Here is a 16,652-nt window from a genome sequence, read left to right as displayed (position 1 = left end):
GATAAATTCTCTGCAGTTCTCTCTCTTTGCTTTTCTTTCCTCTCCCATGCTTTTCTTTTCAAACTCTAGGTGTTTTGACTTCCCTGAGTTTTCGGATTCATTTTCTAAACTCAGGGAGACTGCCAGGTTCTCCCTGGGTCCTTGCTCTGCCCTAAGTTCCAGAAACGTGTAGGCTAGAGCAATCACAGAACTCACCTCATTTGTTTTCTGTCTCACTCACATAACTGCCATTGTTGCTTGAGGGGTAATGTCGAGATCCATTGCTTTATATTTTTTGTTTCTTATTTTCTTGTTTTAGTCATGAGGGTAAATCTTGTTTCTTCTACTCCATCTTGGCCCAAAGCAGAAATCTCATTATAATTTATTTGTATATGTATGTTTCTCCCAGTACACTGTAATCTCATTTTATTCGTCTTTGCCTAATACAGAATCTCACCTAATATTGAACTTGATAAGCATTTGTGAAACCGGACCTCTTTTGTTCATCAAAAAGGAATAGTAAATACATTTCAAGTTATATGGCAACTTGAAAGGTAGTAGAGACTTCTGTTGGAAAGGAAGCTCAAGTTGTTTTGAATCTAATGGGAAAAGATCTATATTAGAATAGTAATGTCTAAAAGATATGGCTTATAAACCATTGCTTTAGAGACTAGCACTTATATTTGAAAATTTGTCAAAATAATAAATACTATAATGCCTTAGAATAGGTGATAAATACTACACAATAACAAAGAGTTGACCATTCTGGGTGAGTTGCTAGCAAAAGTTATGAACATTACATTAATAATTCAAAGATTAGTCACATTGGGTAACACAGTATTAACCTAAACCAAACACATAAACAGGAACACCTCTAACAATTGGCATTTTACTATTGTCAGAATTTTAAAAATTCTAAAATTTCAACCAAATTTAAAAAGCATTTTGAAGAATTTAGATAATTTATCACTCTTTTTTTTTAGGAAAAGTGTTAATCTGCTCATTCCCAAGAGTTCGTTTGTGGCCCCATTGACCATCTCCATTCTGCTGTGCTCAGGAAGAAGGGAGGAATCTCCTCATTATACAAAGTCTATGTGAATAACTTCTCTATATCTTTCTTTAAGTTTGATATAGAGAAATACATAAATAAGGAACAGCAAGTGGTTATATGTCAGACATTTTCCTGAAGAATGTGCCCTTTAGTTCTAATCTAATCTTTCCCCAAATATAGAACTACATTTAGGTATATGCAGGATAATAAAGACATAATTTTACTTTTAAAGAAGAGTTCAAATGTATTACTGTTTAAATAACTTGATGGAGACTTGCATAATATCTGCCCTCTTTTCATCTCTTCCCATAAATTTGCAACAGTCTACTCCTTACTATATGTATATCTAAGAAATATCCAGTCTTAGAAAAGATACTTAACATTTTTTTCTAAGATAACAGAGTAAGCTGTAGGGAAACCCCACAATCATAAGTAGGCAAAAGCCTGCAAATGTCTATTGACTTATGAAAGACAACGCCTTGGCAAGAAATGCCTTGTAATCATAGACCTTTAGCTGTTAGAGAAGATAGAGGAAACGAAGACATAATCAGTTTTAGGGTAGCCCCCTGAGCACACAAGCTTAATAAATATGAACCTTAGAAACAATGATCATTGCACAATTTGCCTGTGATCAGACTTGGGGGTGTATATGAATCCTAAACACTTGGTTTCTATGTGACAATAAAAACACAGAACTGCTCTGGAATCAATTAAACTAGAATTCACACTCTTTTGTGACAGGTAGTGTACTATTCAGTGCCAGTGGAGGCAGATGGAGCATAGTTTCTGCTCAAAAATATGCAATCTGTTAAAATCTTTTTATAGTATGAGAAAAAAAGCCTTTGCCTTGCTCTTAAAACTAATTTAAACCTTTTTAAAATGCATAAGGAAGGAAAAACAAAATAAGGGATATTTATTAATAAAGAAATTGGTGCAAATTGAATATAAGGAGAAGAAAGAAAAGGCAGCTAAAAGTGAATTTGAGTACACTAAGTTTATCCTATAAACTCCTGCTACAAAATTGCAAGAAGCAAGGCACAAATTGGACTGTGCTTATTCCAAAAGCCAAGACAAAGAGGGAAAACTCTCAGCTTTGTCGTTCACAATGCATATAAAATAAAAGAATTACTCAGAAGAACAACTACTTCCAGGGAGGACTTCCTGAAAGAGATTTTTCCTGGGAGTCCTCTTGAAAAAAACACAAGTTGGGAAATTCATGCTAGTCAGCAGGCTTATCCAATATCCCTTATGGGTGTTCCTGAATCTGCTCTCCTGTCAGGAATCAGGGAAGTGCAGTTTAAAAACCTCTGCATGCACCACCTGCCCTCAAGTGGTCCTGAGAGAACAATCTCTTACTTGGTTTTATGGGGGCAGTTAATCTCAAAGAAATGGCTGAGAGAAACTGCACCAGATTCATGTTTTAAAGATAGAGTAAATGGTTCAATAATTTATGTTTCTCACAAATATTGTGCCCAGTATATTATAGTCACATAATTTTTTTTCAAAGAATAAACAAGTGCTCTGAACTACCTCTTCCTCTGCTGCTATCCCATTATAGCCATTATAAAAAGGGGCAATAAAATCAAATAAAGTATAAAGTAAGAAACTAAACTATAAAATTAATCAAAGAGCATAAGTATTACAAAGAAAATGCAGTAAAAGGTAAAAAGAAAGGTAAAGAGTAAAGTAGAAGACAAAAAGTAAATGAATAAAATAATATAGAATAAATATAACAAGATAAAGTAAAAAGAATACAAACTTTCTGAGGAGAAATTTAAAGAAGAGGTATAAAATGAAAGAAGTGAAAAATAAAAAAATTAAAAAGTTTTTTATTAGAAAGTAAAATAATATTTAACAAATGAACAACAAATAGCATTCTTCACAGCAATGAGATAAAATAACTTTACAATCTTTACAATCTTAAACTACAAAGTGAGACTTGTTCTTTAAAAATATGAAAGAATATAGGAAATAAAAAAGGAAAAGCAAGGGATATGAGTTTCTGGAATGTGCTGATAATGAAGAGTCACAAGGCAGAACCATAAGTAACCTTTTTTTCCTCTGGTCACTAAGTTAGTCTCCTGAGTGCCTTCTAGACCACATAGTCCTTTGAAAACAGGTAATGCTTCGATCAAAAAGCGAGGCACTTTCTTACTTCAGTCACTACCAAGTCATTTCTTGCCATTCTTCAATAAACTCTGGTTAATAGTCAACTGTAATTTTTGCATTCTAAATTTTTTAGAAAAGGAAAAATGATAATTAGTACCTGTTATCTTGAAATATCTCTTCAATATAAGGATCAATTTTTTTTTCTATGTTTTGTCTTCACAACTCTGATATTCTTGAGTTGTTGACAAAGTCATCAATGAGTTTTTTGGAGCCACTCAGATAATAGTTGAATTTTTATCTGAATTTATTTTACAATCTGATGAATTTTTTTATTTTTTACTTTTACTTTCAAATTTTTTACTCTTTTTACTTTTATGTTTATTCTTTAATTTTTTGTGAAGAGGCATGATTAGATGAAACATTTAATCTGAAATGTTAAAACTATATAAAAGACCACAGAAATGTTCACTGATTTGGGACATATAGAAGTAGATATTCATTTTCTAATAGGAAATTTAAACAAGTTCTCTGGACTACTGAAACCATCCATTTACACTGGCACTAATATATACATAATTTTAAGAAAAACATTGATACATTTCATGAATAGTAGATGTGATGATTTCAGGTATTCTACTTGTTAATACTAACAAACAATTCTGTATGCATTAACTCTATTGTGATACAAATACATAATAAGGAAGTTAACTAAACTGTTTACATATGTATAAGAGTAAAGCCAAACTATCAAATAGGCTTTTTATAAAATTTGTGTTGCCATTAGAAGACATGCTGGGAATTTTATGACCTCTTCCTCAGGGACCATGTTTATCTTTGTTAGCCATCATACCTTTAACAATTATGCTTATTGAGTGATCTATGTGCATGTTCTTGCCCCTGTTCAAACAAACAGGCTAGAGCTTGTGGCAACATGATGACCTTACAAGTACAAAATACACACTCCTCAGGCATATTTGAGACATTAACTGTGATAAGCAGAAAACCCAGCCTTGTGTAATCTGTCAACAAACTAATAAATTACTTTGGTCAAGGGAGGAAGAACTTCCTCCCATGACCATCTGCACAGGGGAATAGGTTAGTAATTAGAATTCCAACAAAACTGAGGGTTTGGACAAGATAAGCAAAGGCTTAATATGGAAAGTTAAGGGCCAATCCTTTTAGGAACCTATTAGCACACACTTAACATTTTTTGGCATTCTATCTATAAATATTAAGAGATTAGCAAGAAATATGATCAGGCAACAGGAATGCCCACTTACAGCCCTACTCTGAATTCAAAGTGCAAAGTATAAAGTCACATTTCTACTGTCATTAAACGGAGTTTTACTTTGAAAACAGAACCAGACTTGGGTACTTTCTTGATTATTGACTCAAACCCAAATTTACCTACCTGTCTTGCAAAAGATTAGCTATTTAATACCTTTAGTATATATTTTGGCTAAGGAACTGGAGTCAGGAGGCCTGGATTCATATCTCAGTTCTTACACTTAAGAGCTATTTGACTTTAGTAGTGCCTCTTTCATAAAGAGCATCCCACATACCCCACCACAGCAACCTGTTGGACAAGCTGACCAAAAAGGAAGGCAAACAGCCCTGGACTTGGTAGAGAATAAGATGAGACTTTCCACTTACCTGCTCCTTTGAAATTTTGCCTTAGGCTTCTTCTAAAAGTCAACATTGAAGTTTAGACTATGAGCTGACAGAATGAGGACTGAGAATCCCAGAGATACCATTCTTTGTCATGTGATATGCCACAGTGCTATGTTCTTGGTTGACTTTTATGCTCCTTATGTATGTAGGGTGCAAATGATATACCAAACTGCAGAGCCTTCTTAAATAAGACCAGAATCATTGACAATATCCTCTGACCTACCACAACAAATGCTGTAAAGTACATATATGTTTATACTGAATGACTTTTGGGAGTATGTCTAAAAACTTGGAACTGAACCTAAGTTTACTAATGAGCCATAACATGAGATTCATCAATTGTCAGCATAAAAAATGTTTCTGGGTAATGGGGAGGCTAATCATTGCATAGAATTGCTTTTTATACACAAACACATATTTAATTTTATCCTTTGAGACATTTTTTATAATCAAAAATAAAACAGATATAGCAAGAAAATAAAAATGATATACTCTGTGAGTTATAAAGTAAACATATCCACGTTGTAAAAATTATAATGAGGAAAGATTGCATATATACATATCTAACTATGAGTGAATCCATCCCATTCCATTAATTTTCCTTAGTGAATGAAGATTAAAATGAATATTCAAAATAATGAAGAAAAAGCTTTGGATAAAAATATCTGAAGACATCCTTCATTGAAGAAAATTGAAGATCTAGGATAAGGCAGACTTCAAGAAGAATAATGTTTATCATTTAATTTAGATAAACAAAAATTCCATCTTTGCAAAAGTATTCATCTTTTATTACAAATTGCCAAGGTCAAATTCAGTTCAATGTGCCTTTCACATTTTAAGGCCAGTCATATTTTAAAATGTCTCTTTGAACAATAAATTTTCTTCCCTGATTTTGTATATCTTTTTAAGATTTGTCTTTCTTCAGGAAACTCTGCCAAATGTGTTGAGAATATGAACCTAAATTACAAGGCATTCTATATGTGTTTAGAAATACATTTTTTTTCTGATTTCCCTGCAACTTTAATTACACAGTATTTCCAATTCTTTTTCATGTCATTTACAAACTTATTCTCATTTTTGTTCCTGAGCCCAACACAAGCCAAGCATGAACTTTATCAACAACCTTGGTCTACCTGCCATTCTCGTCTTCCCCTCTCACCCAAAACCCATTCCTTATCCTTGCTCCAGCTTTCTATCTGTTGGTCTTATGATGACTGCTAGATTTGAATACTGTTTTCTGAGCCTCTCTCAATTTGTCACTCTTCTGATTCAGGTTTCTGCAGTGACCTACTGGACTCCAAAATTTCTCCTGCTAGTTTTCCTTCTCTCCCTGTCTATGGAGAACCTGTAGGACAGAAATTCTGCTTTGGTGTTGGTGCAATCTAGTTTCCAGGTCTAGGCCTCTGGCATTGCTCCGGGAGTGGATTACTAAGCATCAACCAATGACAAAGAGAATCTACTTTGTTCAGCGTTGCTGGAAAGGGAATTTGTCCTACCTCAAAATTATTAGCCCAAATAACTCCTAAATATTTATCATTGTCAGGGGCTATAATAGTTTCCTCTACTCATTAATTGTGAATTATAGCACCTACCTATTTTGGCATCAATCATGAGTGAACTTGCCATTTGATGCATTTCTAAGGCAACCAGTTTATTCAGGTAAGTTTTTCAGCGGATATATTACTTTAGATTTGTAACCTATTCTATTCTATTCTATTCTATTCTATTCTATTCTATTCTATTCTATTCTATTCTATTCTGTTCTGTTCCATTCTATTCTACATTCTCTATTACAAATGTATCATTCATGTTATTCAATATACACATTCCTCTTTATTTTAAGCACTGTGCTAAACTTTTTGTATATGATTTTGGTATTATTCCTAATTCACAGATGAGGTAACTGAAGCTCAATGGAGTTAAGCAAATTTCCTAAATTATCAAGATATTAGTGAATAGAATTTGATTGGAAGCCATATCTCTCCAACTCCAAAGTCTGTTCTCTCTCAACATACAGCATGCTACATGAAAATTCAACATATTGGGCTGGGCACGGTGGCTCATGCCTATAATCCTAGCACTTTGGGAGGCCGAGTCAGGTGGATCACCTGAGGTCAGGAGTTTGAGACCAGCCCGGCCATTGTGGCGAAACCCCGTCTCTACTAAAAATACAAAAATTAGCCAGACATGTTGGCGTGCGCCTGGAATCCCAGCTACTTGGGAGGCTGAGGCAGGAGAATCACTTGAACCCAGAGGGCAGAGGTTGCAGTGAGCTGAGATCACACCATTGCACACCAGCCTGGGCAACAAGAGCAAAACTCCATTTCAAAAAAAAAAAAAATTCAACATACTATAACATGTACTATAGTTGAAGTTAGCTGCAAAGTGCAAGAGAAGGATTGAGGAGAGAGGGATTAAATTTCTTTTTTTTAAACAAATTTTTGCTAAGTACCATCTGAGTGCAAGTACTCAATTATGCTCAGGAAATAGACTGTTGACCAATAAAAAACAGTGCCTGCCTCCCTGGAAGAGCGTATTTCCATCAGTCCCTCTCAAATATCCCTCAGTGTTTCCTCAGTTTCTCTTATCCCACAAATATTCTGGAAACTAATGCTCCTTTTTCTAAGGACACAATTGCTCCTTAACAGCTTCTGTGCTTCTACCCATCCTTTCAGCAAATTTCTTTTATATCTTTCCAGGTTTGCAGTAAATGGACAAGGCAATAAAGCTGAAAATTTGTCACCTAAATTTATCACTTTTAGCCATCTTTTCCTCTAGTCTAAGGCAGGTCTAGTGTCTAAGATCTACATATTTAAAAGCTTTTTGCTGTTGTTGTTTTTGTCTTTTGTTTTTTTCCTAAAACCATCTGTAGTGAGCCAATTGCTATTTCCTAAAAGCATTTAAACTCAGGAAAACTCAGGACTTGACAAAACCCCCAAATACTTTTAAAAGATCCTTAACCCATTCCAAACCCTCAATGAGGAACATGCATTTTAAATCCCCAGGCCAACCCTGGATATCCTTGAATTTCCAAATAATAACTAAATTTAGTAGTGATCTAGGTATGTGGTCACATGCAAAATATTGGTTTGTGACGCTGTCATCCAATCTTTTATTGATTTATTATCCTGCTCATTGCTGGACCATTCTTGTTTTAGGGGCTGTGACTCAAAACCATAATTAAATCTGTATCATTCCTGTGTCTGACCTCAGAGAACTCTTCTTCTCAATGAACATTTAAAATTTGGGATCAAACCACAGGCAACTTGAATCCTATGTTTAATCTTTCACTGTTTATTCTAACTCTCAGAAAGACAACACACAAATAATGAGACTTTAGTATATGTTGCAAACCTTATTTGCATAAGAATAATTTAACAAAATAACACTTTGTTACACATGCAATACTTTAAATGGTATTTTTTTTAAGGTTATAAAACAACCACACTGAAATAAGCTAAGATACATGCTTCTACATTTTCTTGTAATTCATTTTTCTCCTTAACAGCTGAGGTCAAATTCCAAGCATTACTTTTATATATTTTTCTCTCTTAAATAGAGATTTAAATCACTGTTTGACTTTATTTGTTCTTCATTAAATGTTCTTCTTAACAAAAGCACCTTGCCTCACAAGCACACAAATTTAATCATTTTAACTTACAACATAAATTAATATCTAGGACATGTCAACTGAAAATCTTAGTTATTTCCGAAAGCTGCAGGTGCTATGAAATACAGCCAACTGGAATTCATCTTCCAGAGAACACTGAGTATTACAAAACCTTGCAAGGATTATTTCCAAAAAATGTTTAGAAACTAGAAGATGACAAAGTTTACCAAGTACTTTAAATATCATTTAAGTTGACCAAGTTTAAATATCGTGAACTTATTTTTAACCCTAAACAACATAAATTTTTCCAAAAACATTTGTACTCATCTATATTATTCCTGGTAATTATCCTGCCAGGAAGAAAATTTGGAATGAAAATATTTGAAATCTGGAATTAATCAGGCAGCTTACCCATCTAAATTCTGACCATCAAGATAAAGATTTTCAGGCAAAGCTATTCATTCTAATTGGTCAAATTCCAACCAGTTCAAACTATCAAATAAGATGTTATCTTTGTCTTATCCTTACAGAAAACATTAAGTGTATATATTTTATCTCAATTCCAATATTGTCTTCACATGTACTCAATGCCTAACTGAAGATAAATGTTAATAAAACTACGTGGAATGTTAAAAACCCCAATATGTGTTCTTCTTTGCCAATCATGAGAAGTTGCTACACTGTTTATAATTACTCTATGTTTGAAACACAAACATTTGGACATAGTTTCTTTGCCAAATAGGGCTTGCCTGTAAAGATTATATACTGGGATAACTTTATTTGGAAAAGATACAATGATAAGGGCCCATACTATTTTAGTACTTACTAATCTGTTCTTGGTTTTTATTCAACTATGAAAAGTTTACCTAAAAGACAGGAAAAAGTAAGAGATTTTTTAAATTATAGACTACAGATAAATCTAAATTTGAATTTAAAAGGTAATAATGTAACAATGGTAATAAATGTTTAAGGACATTTTAACTTAAAATCATTTAAGGGCAAACCAAACAGAATAATGAACTTATTCTATAGTGTATTAAATTATCTTTATATATAGTTCTAAATGTTTTAATATATACTATACCAACAAATTTAAAATCATAGCTGATGAACAATCAGGAGACAGAAGTCACACTAGTTATTTTATTTATTTTTACCTGTTTTAACTTTATTTGGAAATAATTTCAGACTTATACAAAGTTGCAAATATAGTATGAAGAGTTCCCCAAAACCCTTTTCTCAACTCGTTAACAAATGTTGACACATTGCATAACCATAGTATAACTATCAAAATTTAAAAATTAACATTGATATAATAATATTGATTCATCTGCATCTTATTCACCTTTATCAATTGTCTCACTAATTTATTTACACCGGCCTAACATCTAATCCGGCACTCATCATTGCATTAAGTTTACATTGCTCATTAGTCAGCTTGAGTATGTGTCATACATATTTGGCAAGAGGACCACAGAAATTTGTTGCACCCTTCTCAGTGCCTCATATCAGATATAGGATGACATGTCTCATTATTGGTGATATTACATTTGATAACTGTTAAAATGAGGTTTGCCAAGTTTCTGTCCCGCAATATTAGTATTTTCACTTTTAACTAATAAGTATCTTATGGGCAGATACTTTGAAATATTGCAAATATCCTGTCTCTCATAACACCTTCCCCAACTAATTTTGGTGCACATTGATAATTCTTGACTACAATGATTACAGTGTGTGTCTGCAAACCAAACAAAAAAGGTGATTTTTTTTTGAGATGGGGTCTTGCTCTGTTGCCCAGGCTGGAGTGCAGTGGCATGATCTCAGCTCACTGCAACCTCCACCTCCTGGGTTCAAGCAATTCTCTGCCTCAGCCTCCTGAGTAGCTGGGATTACAGGCACCTGCCCCACCACGCCCAGCTGATTTTTGTATTTTTAGTAGAGACGGGGTTTCACCATCTTGGCCAGACTGGCCTTGAACTCTTGATCTTGTGATTCACCCGCCTCGGCCTCCCAAAGTGCTGGGATTACAGGCGTGAGCCACCGCGCCCAGCCAAAAAGGTGATTTTAATTTCAGTTATTATTTTTGTATTTATATACTGAAATGCTACTATTGAAAATAGTTATTTTTTCCCTCTACTATATATTTATCTATTCATTATTTATAACCCCAGTGCAATCTAATGGATATTTACTTTGGTCTATGGGCTATAAAACATTACTATCAGCAAGGCACAGTGGCTCACAGGTAACATAGCAGAACTCTGTCTTTAAAAACAAAAATGAAAACATTACTAGCACCATTATTTTGTGGCTAAAAATGTTCCAGATTTGGCCACTGGTTGCTTTTTGAAGTCGATTCCCAAGCGCCTTTGACATGGCATCATCATTTTAAAGTACTTTCTTCGTTTCTGGAACTATATGATTGATGTTTCAGGCTCATTCTGTGCTTTCTCCTCTTACCTCAGACCTAGAATCATCTATTTCCATTTATTGGAAAATGGTATTTATAAATGAATATCTCAGCATTACATTTGCACACTGTTTTTTAGGGACAATTCTTTTAAGAATAATCTAAGCCTGAAAATAAATATATGTAAGCACATACATGCATACACAGTTAGACCCATAGCCAACTGTATATATTTAAATTAAAAAAAAAAAACAAAAAAGAAAAACCACCATGACTACATATTGGTCTTTTTGGTTCCAGTACAATTCCACAAGGGTCATCCTGGCTTTGCCTCCTTCCTTATTTTAATGCCTGCCCCATCCAGCAAGAAATCAGCTTTCATTATCCAGAATATATTTACTGGTTTGAATCAAGTATAGAAATCTGATGTCCTTTAACACTCCCTTTATCTCCTCCAATCATAATTGTCTTAAACATTTTTTATACATTTTAAATCATGTCAGTGGTATAATTTTTGTTTCAACCATGAAACATAATTTAATACAAGAGAATAAGGGAACGTATTTGCACATATTTTTGCTCTTTCCATAGTTTTCTTCCCCCTTGGTATTCAAAGATTCCATTTTTTACATTTTCTTTTGGTTGAAATAACTTCCTCTAGCTATTCTTTTTGGTCTGCTGGTTACACATTTTCAGTTTCTCTGTATCTGAGAATGCCTTGATTTTTCCTTAGTTCCTGAATAATATTTTTCCTGAATGTAGGATTTGTGGTTAAATGCTTTCTGTCAGCACTTGAAAAATGTTGAGCCACATGCTTTCTGGCTTCCAAGATTTTTGATGAGAAGTCCACTGTCATTTAAGTTGACTCCTTTTAGGTAAGGTATCTTTTCTCTCTCATGGTTTTTCAAGGTTTTTTTCGTTGTCTTTAGTTTTCAGAAGTATGACTATGATGTTCCTTGGTGTGGATTTCAATCTATTCTGTTTGGTATTCACTCAGCTTTTTGAAAATGTATGTTTATGTCTTTTGGCAAATTGGGAAAGTTTTCTGCCATTATTGTTTTGAGCAGTTTTTCAGTCGTTCCCTGTTCCTCCTCTCCTTATGGAAATCTGATGACACAAATGTTAGAGCTTTTGTTATAATGCCACAGATCTCTGAGGGTCTGTTCAAGTTTTTTTTCAGTCTACTTGTTTCCCTGTTTTTCAAATTAGGTTTCTATTATTCTATCTTCAAGTTCAATAATTATTTTTGTCCCATCCATTCTAATGTTGATCCCATTTTTTTATTATTTTATTTTTTATTTATAAAGTTTTCGTTTTATTTTTCTTTACATCTTTCATTTTTTGCTTACAGTATTATTTCATGGGTGTTTGTAATTGCTCATTAAAAATTTTCTGATGGTTGCTTTAATATCTTTTTCAGATAATTCCAAACCCTCTGTTACCTTGATGTTGGCATCTGTCACTTGTCTTTTATTATTCTATTTGAGATCTTCCTATGTCTTCATAAGAAGGGTAGTTTCTATTGAATCATATATTTTGATTAATATTGTATGGATCTCTGGATCTTATTTAACCTTCTATTTTAGCTGTCTTCTTTTGATACCACTCCAGCAGTAGAAAAAGGAATGCTGCCTCTTTACTAGGTTAAAAGTTTAGGTTCCCCAGTCTGACTTTAATGACACACAAGTTTGTGGGGAGCTCCTTGTTACTCATGGATGTGGTGACAATTCCGGCTCTCAACCAAGCAGTCACTGATACCTCTCAGGCTTGCTGGAACAGAAACTGTTTGTTACTTCCCCTCTGTGGCTTCCACTGACACCACAGAGAGGGTGGCCTCATTACTGCTGGGTGGTGGTGAAAGTCTTGATTCACCTCAAGACTTGCTCTAACACTCCAGCAAGTAGAGGACAGGGCAGCTTATTATTGCCAGATAGGAAGGGCAGTCCACCCTTTCAGGAATATTTTAAAATTTATCTTATATAGGTTTGCCTATTTCTCATTTAGTTTATCCTAAATTTTTACTCTTCTTTCTTGCCAATATAAGTGAAGTTTTCCTTACCATTATAACACCAAATTCATTATTTTTGTGTGTATGAAAGCTATTAATTGGCTTCTGAGTTTCTTTGACATGGCATCATCATTTGTAAGTACTTTCTTATTTTTTGGAACTATATGATTCCAAAAATTTAATTTAATAAACTAATTTTATATTCAACTATCTTATTGGAGACTATGAGTATCCTTGCCTTGTTTCTTATCTTAGTGGAAATAGGTCTTGTTTCCCCATTAAGTAATAAACTTTAGAACTAAATATAGGCATCATACCACACCAAGAAAAGTTTTCTATTACCTTGAGTCTTTTTAAAAAATCAGGAATGAGTGGAATTTGGGGAGACTTTTTTGGCATCTATGAAGTTTTTTTTGGTATGTTATTATTATGTGAGATATAATAGACTTACTTGAAACAACCTTGAATTCCTATAATATATTCAACTTGGTAATAGCGTATGATTCTCTTAATGTGACTTTGAATTCTGTTTGCTAATATAATATTTAGTATTTTGCATCAATATTAATAAGATATATTGATCTTCAATATTTCTTTCTTGTAATATCTTTGTCAGATTTGGATGCCAATGATATATTTGGTCTACAAAAATAATTAGAGAAGTTTTCATTCATCTTCACATCTCTGGGAGAGTTTACAGCACACTGAACTAGCCAGAGACAAGTAAACTAGAGTCATTAAAATTACAACAATTAGGTTGACCTAAGTCCCAGTAGTGAAATTGGGCCAAGAAGAATATTATAGAAACCCGACCAGAATCAGCAGTATTCCAGGAAGACAGGAAAATCTCGAGCTTATCTGGCTAAAACATTGAAAAAAGCATTAAGTACTTGTTTGAAGTAAGGATTTCTTAATGATGTAGATTATCAATATTGTGGCAGCTCATATCTCCTTGGTTGATCGTCCTATATTTATATTAACCAGTTTACACTGAAAAACATGATTTGATTAGATGAGACTCTGAAAAAGGTGAGAACAGCTTTTCCTTTTCTATCCGAGAACTTTTAGTATTTGCATACAAAGTTAGGGTCATATCTTCTGAACAGATAATAGGTAAAAACTCTCAGATTTCTGCTTTAATTTATAATATTGGACATAATAACAAAGGTATAAGCAAAAACTGCAACCAAACACGTAATGCCTTTCTTAATATCCATTCGCTTCATGGGTCACATCAAACATACTGACAGTGGGATTTACTAACTTTACTAAACATCATTTTCATCATGTATAAAATGGAAAAACTACCAATCTACTTTATTTATTTATTTAGAGACCTAGTCATGCTCTGTCGCCCAGGTTGGAATGCAGTGGCATGATCTCGGCACACTGCAACCTCTGCATCCCGGTTCAAGTGATTCTCTCATCCCAGCCTCCTGAGTAGCTGGGATTACAGGCATGCGTCACCATGCCTGGCTAATTTTTTTTTTTTTTTTTTTTTTTTGTATTTTTAGTAGAGATGCGGCTTTGCCATGTTGGCCAGGCTGGTCTTGAACTCCTGGTCTCAAGTGATCCACCCACCTCAGCCTCCCAAAGTGCTGGGATTACAGTCATGAACCACTGCACCTGGCCCTATCTACTTTAAACATGAAACCTGAGATAATTTGTGTGAAAGCAGTTAAAAATATTTAGCTTACGGCAAGTTCTCACTATGCTATTGTCTAACATTCTTAAATAATCAAAGTCATTTAACATTCTTAAATAATCAGTCACCAGTTTTAGGTGAGGGTGGTGGAGGTGGGTAGTGATTACAATGGAAAAGCTCTGTATTAAGTGGTTTCCAGCCACTTGTCCCTTCTGAGATCTCTGAATGCTATAAGCCAAGTTAATATCTTCCCCTCCTCTAAGCTCGAAGCAGGAAATTGGAGTTTTCTTTGGCGAATCTGGCCTAGGAAAAGTGACTCACAAATACCAACATGTGTGGGCTTTGCAATAAAATATTTACATCCGCATTTGATTATTTTACTATGTAGACATGAAAACCACCTGTTGAAATGTTTTGCCCTACTCCAAACAAATGCCCCAATGTAACATTTTAGCACTTCATTCTTTTTTTTTTTTTTTTGAGACGGAGTCTCGCTCTGTCGCCCAGGCCAGAAGTGCAGTGGCACTATCTCGGCTCACTGCAAGCTCTGCCTTCCGGGTTCACGCCATTCTGCCTCAGCCTCCCAAGTAGCTGGGACTGCAGGGGCCCGCCACTGCGCCCGGCTAATTTTTTGTATTTTTAGTAGAGACGGGGTTTCACCATGTTAGCCAGGATGGTCTCGATCTCCTGACCTCGTGATCCGCCCGCCTCGGCCTCCCAAAGTGCTAGGATTACAGGCATGAGTCACCGCGCCTGGCCTAGCACTTCATTCTTAAAAGTGATTGGATGCACAAGGGTTGATAGACATGCAAGAGCCTGAAAGACATACCAATACCAACGAATAAAAAAAAGTAAAAATTGGAGAAAACGGAAGAAATTCTGGAAAGAAAAGAAAATTGTACACAATACCAGCTACTATTAAAATTATTGGGGAAATAAGAAAAATTTATGTTGCATTGAAAAACTAGGATGTAATTTTAAAATCAGAGAACAACAAAAGCCTTATGATTTTCTATTGAAAAATAACTAAAACGGTTAGAAGTTGTCAAAGAATGATAGTAGAAACTAGGTATTATGATAAATATAAAAGAGGAAATAAAAATATTTAAAAATTACCAATACAAGGCATACAAAATCTTCAATATAGAGCATGCAAAATCTAACTACAAGAGGATTCAGAAATAGAAAAAGAAAAAAATAGAAAATTATTAAAGAAGTAATCAAGGAAAACTTCCAAAACTGAGAGCATAAACTTTCAAATAGAAAGGGCTCACTAAATGCTCAGAACAGTAATAGAAGACAAAACCACACCAAGGCAAATTATAGAACCACAAGTAGAAAGAACAGATCCCAAAGACTCCCTAACAGGAGAAAAACGTTTACATACAAAGGAGGAGATTGATTATGATGTTAGAGTTCTCAATAACAACACTAGATGGCAAGCAAAAAGGAAACAACATCATCAACATTCTGAGGAAAAGCTATCTCCAGTCTCAGCTTCAGCACTCCATCAAGCTATTAATTAATCATAAGTATAGATCAAGTTCAGACATGTCAGCTTAACAAAGATCATCTCACTCGCACTCTTTTAAAGGAGGCTGAAAGAAGACGTACTCCCAAGAGAAGCATACCAAGGAAGAAGCCACGGTTTTCAGGAAATAGAAGATACAATATAACAGAGCGACAATGGTTTATGGTAAATGAAAGCTTCAAGATGAAGCTGTGCAACAACGCTCAGAGAAAAATCAGTTTAGGTGAGATTAGACAGGAGAACCCACGAAAAATTTCTCAAAAAAAAAATGCACTAAATAAATTGCCCATTATAGAATTAAGTTTTACATCAGCAGTGAGGAGTTTGTTGATAAATTAGCACTAGGAACAGGGAAAATCAAGCAGAATAAAAACAATTGTTAACTTTACAGGAAACAAAAGAGTGATGTAAAAGCCAGAGAATCATGTTGAAAGACTCAAATTTAAGTAACATAGCTATAGTTTTTAAAATATAAAGATTAAATATTGATCAAACTAAAGTTGTTACATAAGAATATTGAGGCTGCTTTGTCTATGGAGTAGCCATTCTTTTATTCCTTTACTTTCTTAATAAACTGGCTTTCAGAAAAAAAAAAGAAAAAGAATATTGAGAGAATTTGTATTACGTTATTTACCAGG

General features: G+C 34.2%; 3 annotated features.

The window, feature by feature from the left end:
* Nucleotides 12,623-12,702: an enhancer, noted in NCBI's record as "active region_7861". NCBI's record gives its function as "activates an Ori minimal core promoter by ATAC-STARR-seq in GM12878 lymphoblastoid cells {active_cell/tissue: GM12878}" and the evidence as "EXISTENCE:reporter gene assay evidence [ECO:0000049][PMID:35858748]".
* Nucleotides 14,587-15,087: an enhancer, noted in NCBI's record as "H3K4me1 hESC enhancer chr13:81445449-81445949 (GRCh37/hg19 assembly coordinates)". NCBI's record gives its function as "activates a minimal SCP1, AML or CMV promoter by ChIP-STARR-seq in naive H9 embryonic stem cells {active_cell/tissue: H9 hESC(naive)}" and the evidence as "EXISTENCE:reporter gene assay evidence [ECO:0000049][PMID:30033119]".
* Nucleotides 15,088-15,588: an enhancer, noted in NCBI's record as "H3K4me1 hESC enhancer chr13:81444948-81445448 (GRCh37/hg19 assembly coordinates)". NCBI's record gives its function as "activates a minimal SCP1, AML or CMV promoter by ChIP-STARR-seq in naive H9 embryonic stem cells {active_cell/tissue: H9 hESC(naive)}" and the evidence as "EXISTENCE:reporter gene assay evidence [ECO:0000049][PMID:30033119]".

This window comes from Homo sapiens, chromosome 13, assembly GCF_000001405.40.
Source record: "Homo sapiens chromosome 13, GRCh38.p14 Primary Assembly".
NCBI lineage: Eukaryota > Metazoa > Chordata > Mammalia > Primates > Hominidae > Homo > Homo sapiens.
The sequence above is the reverse complement of the archived record's forward strand: the minus strand, read 5'-3'. Positions and strand labels throughout refer to the sequence as shown.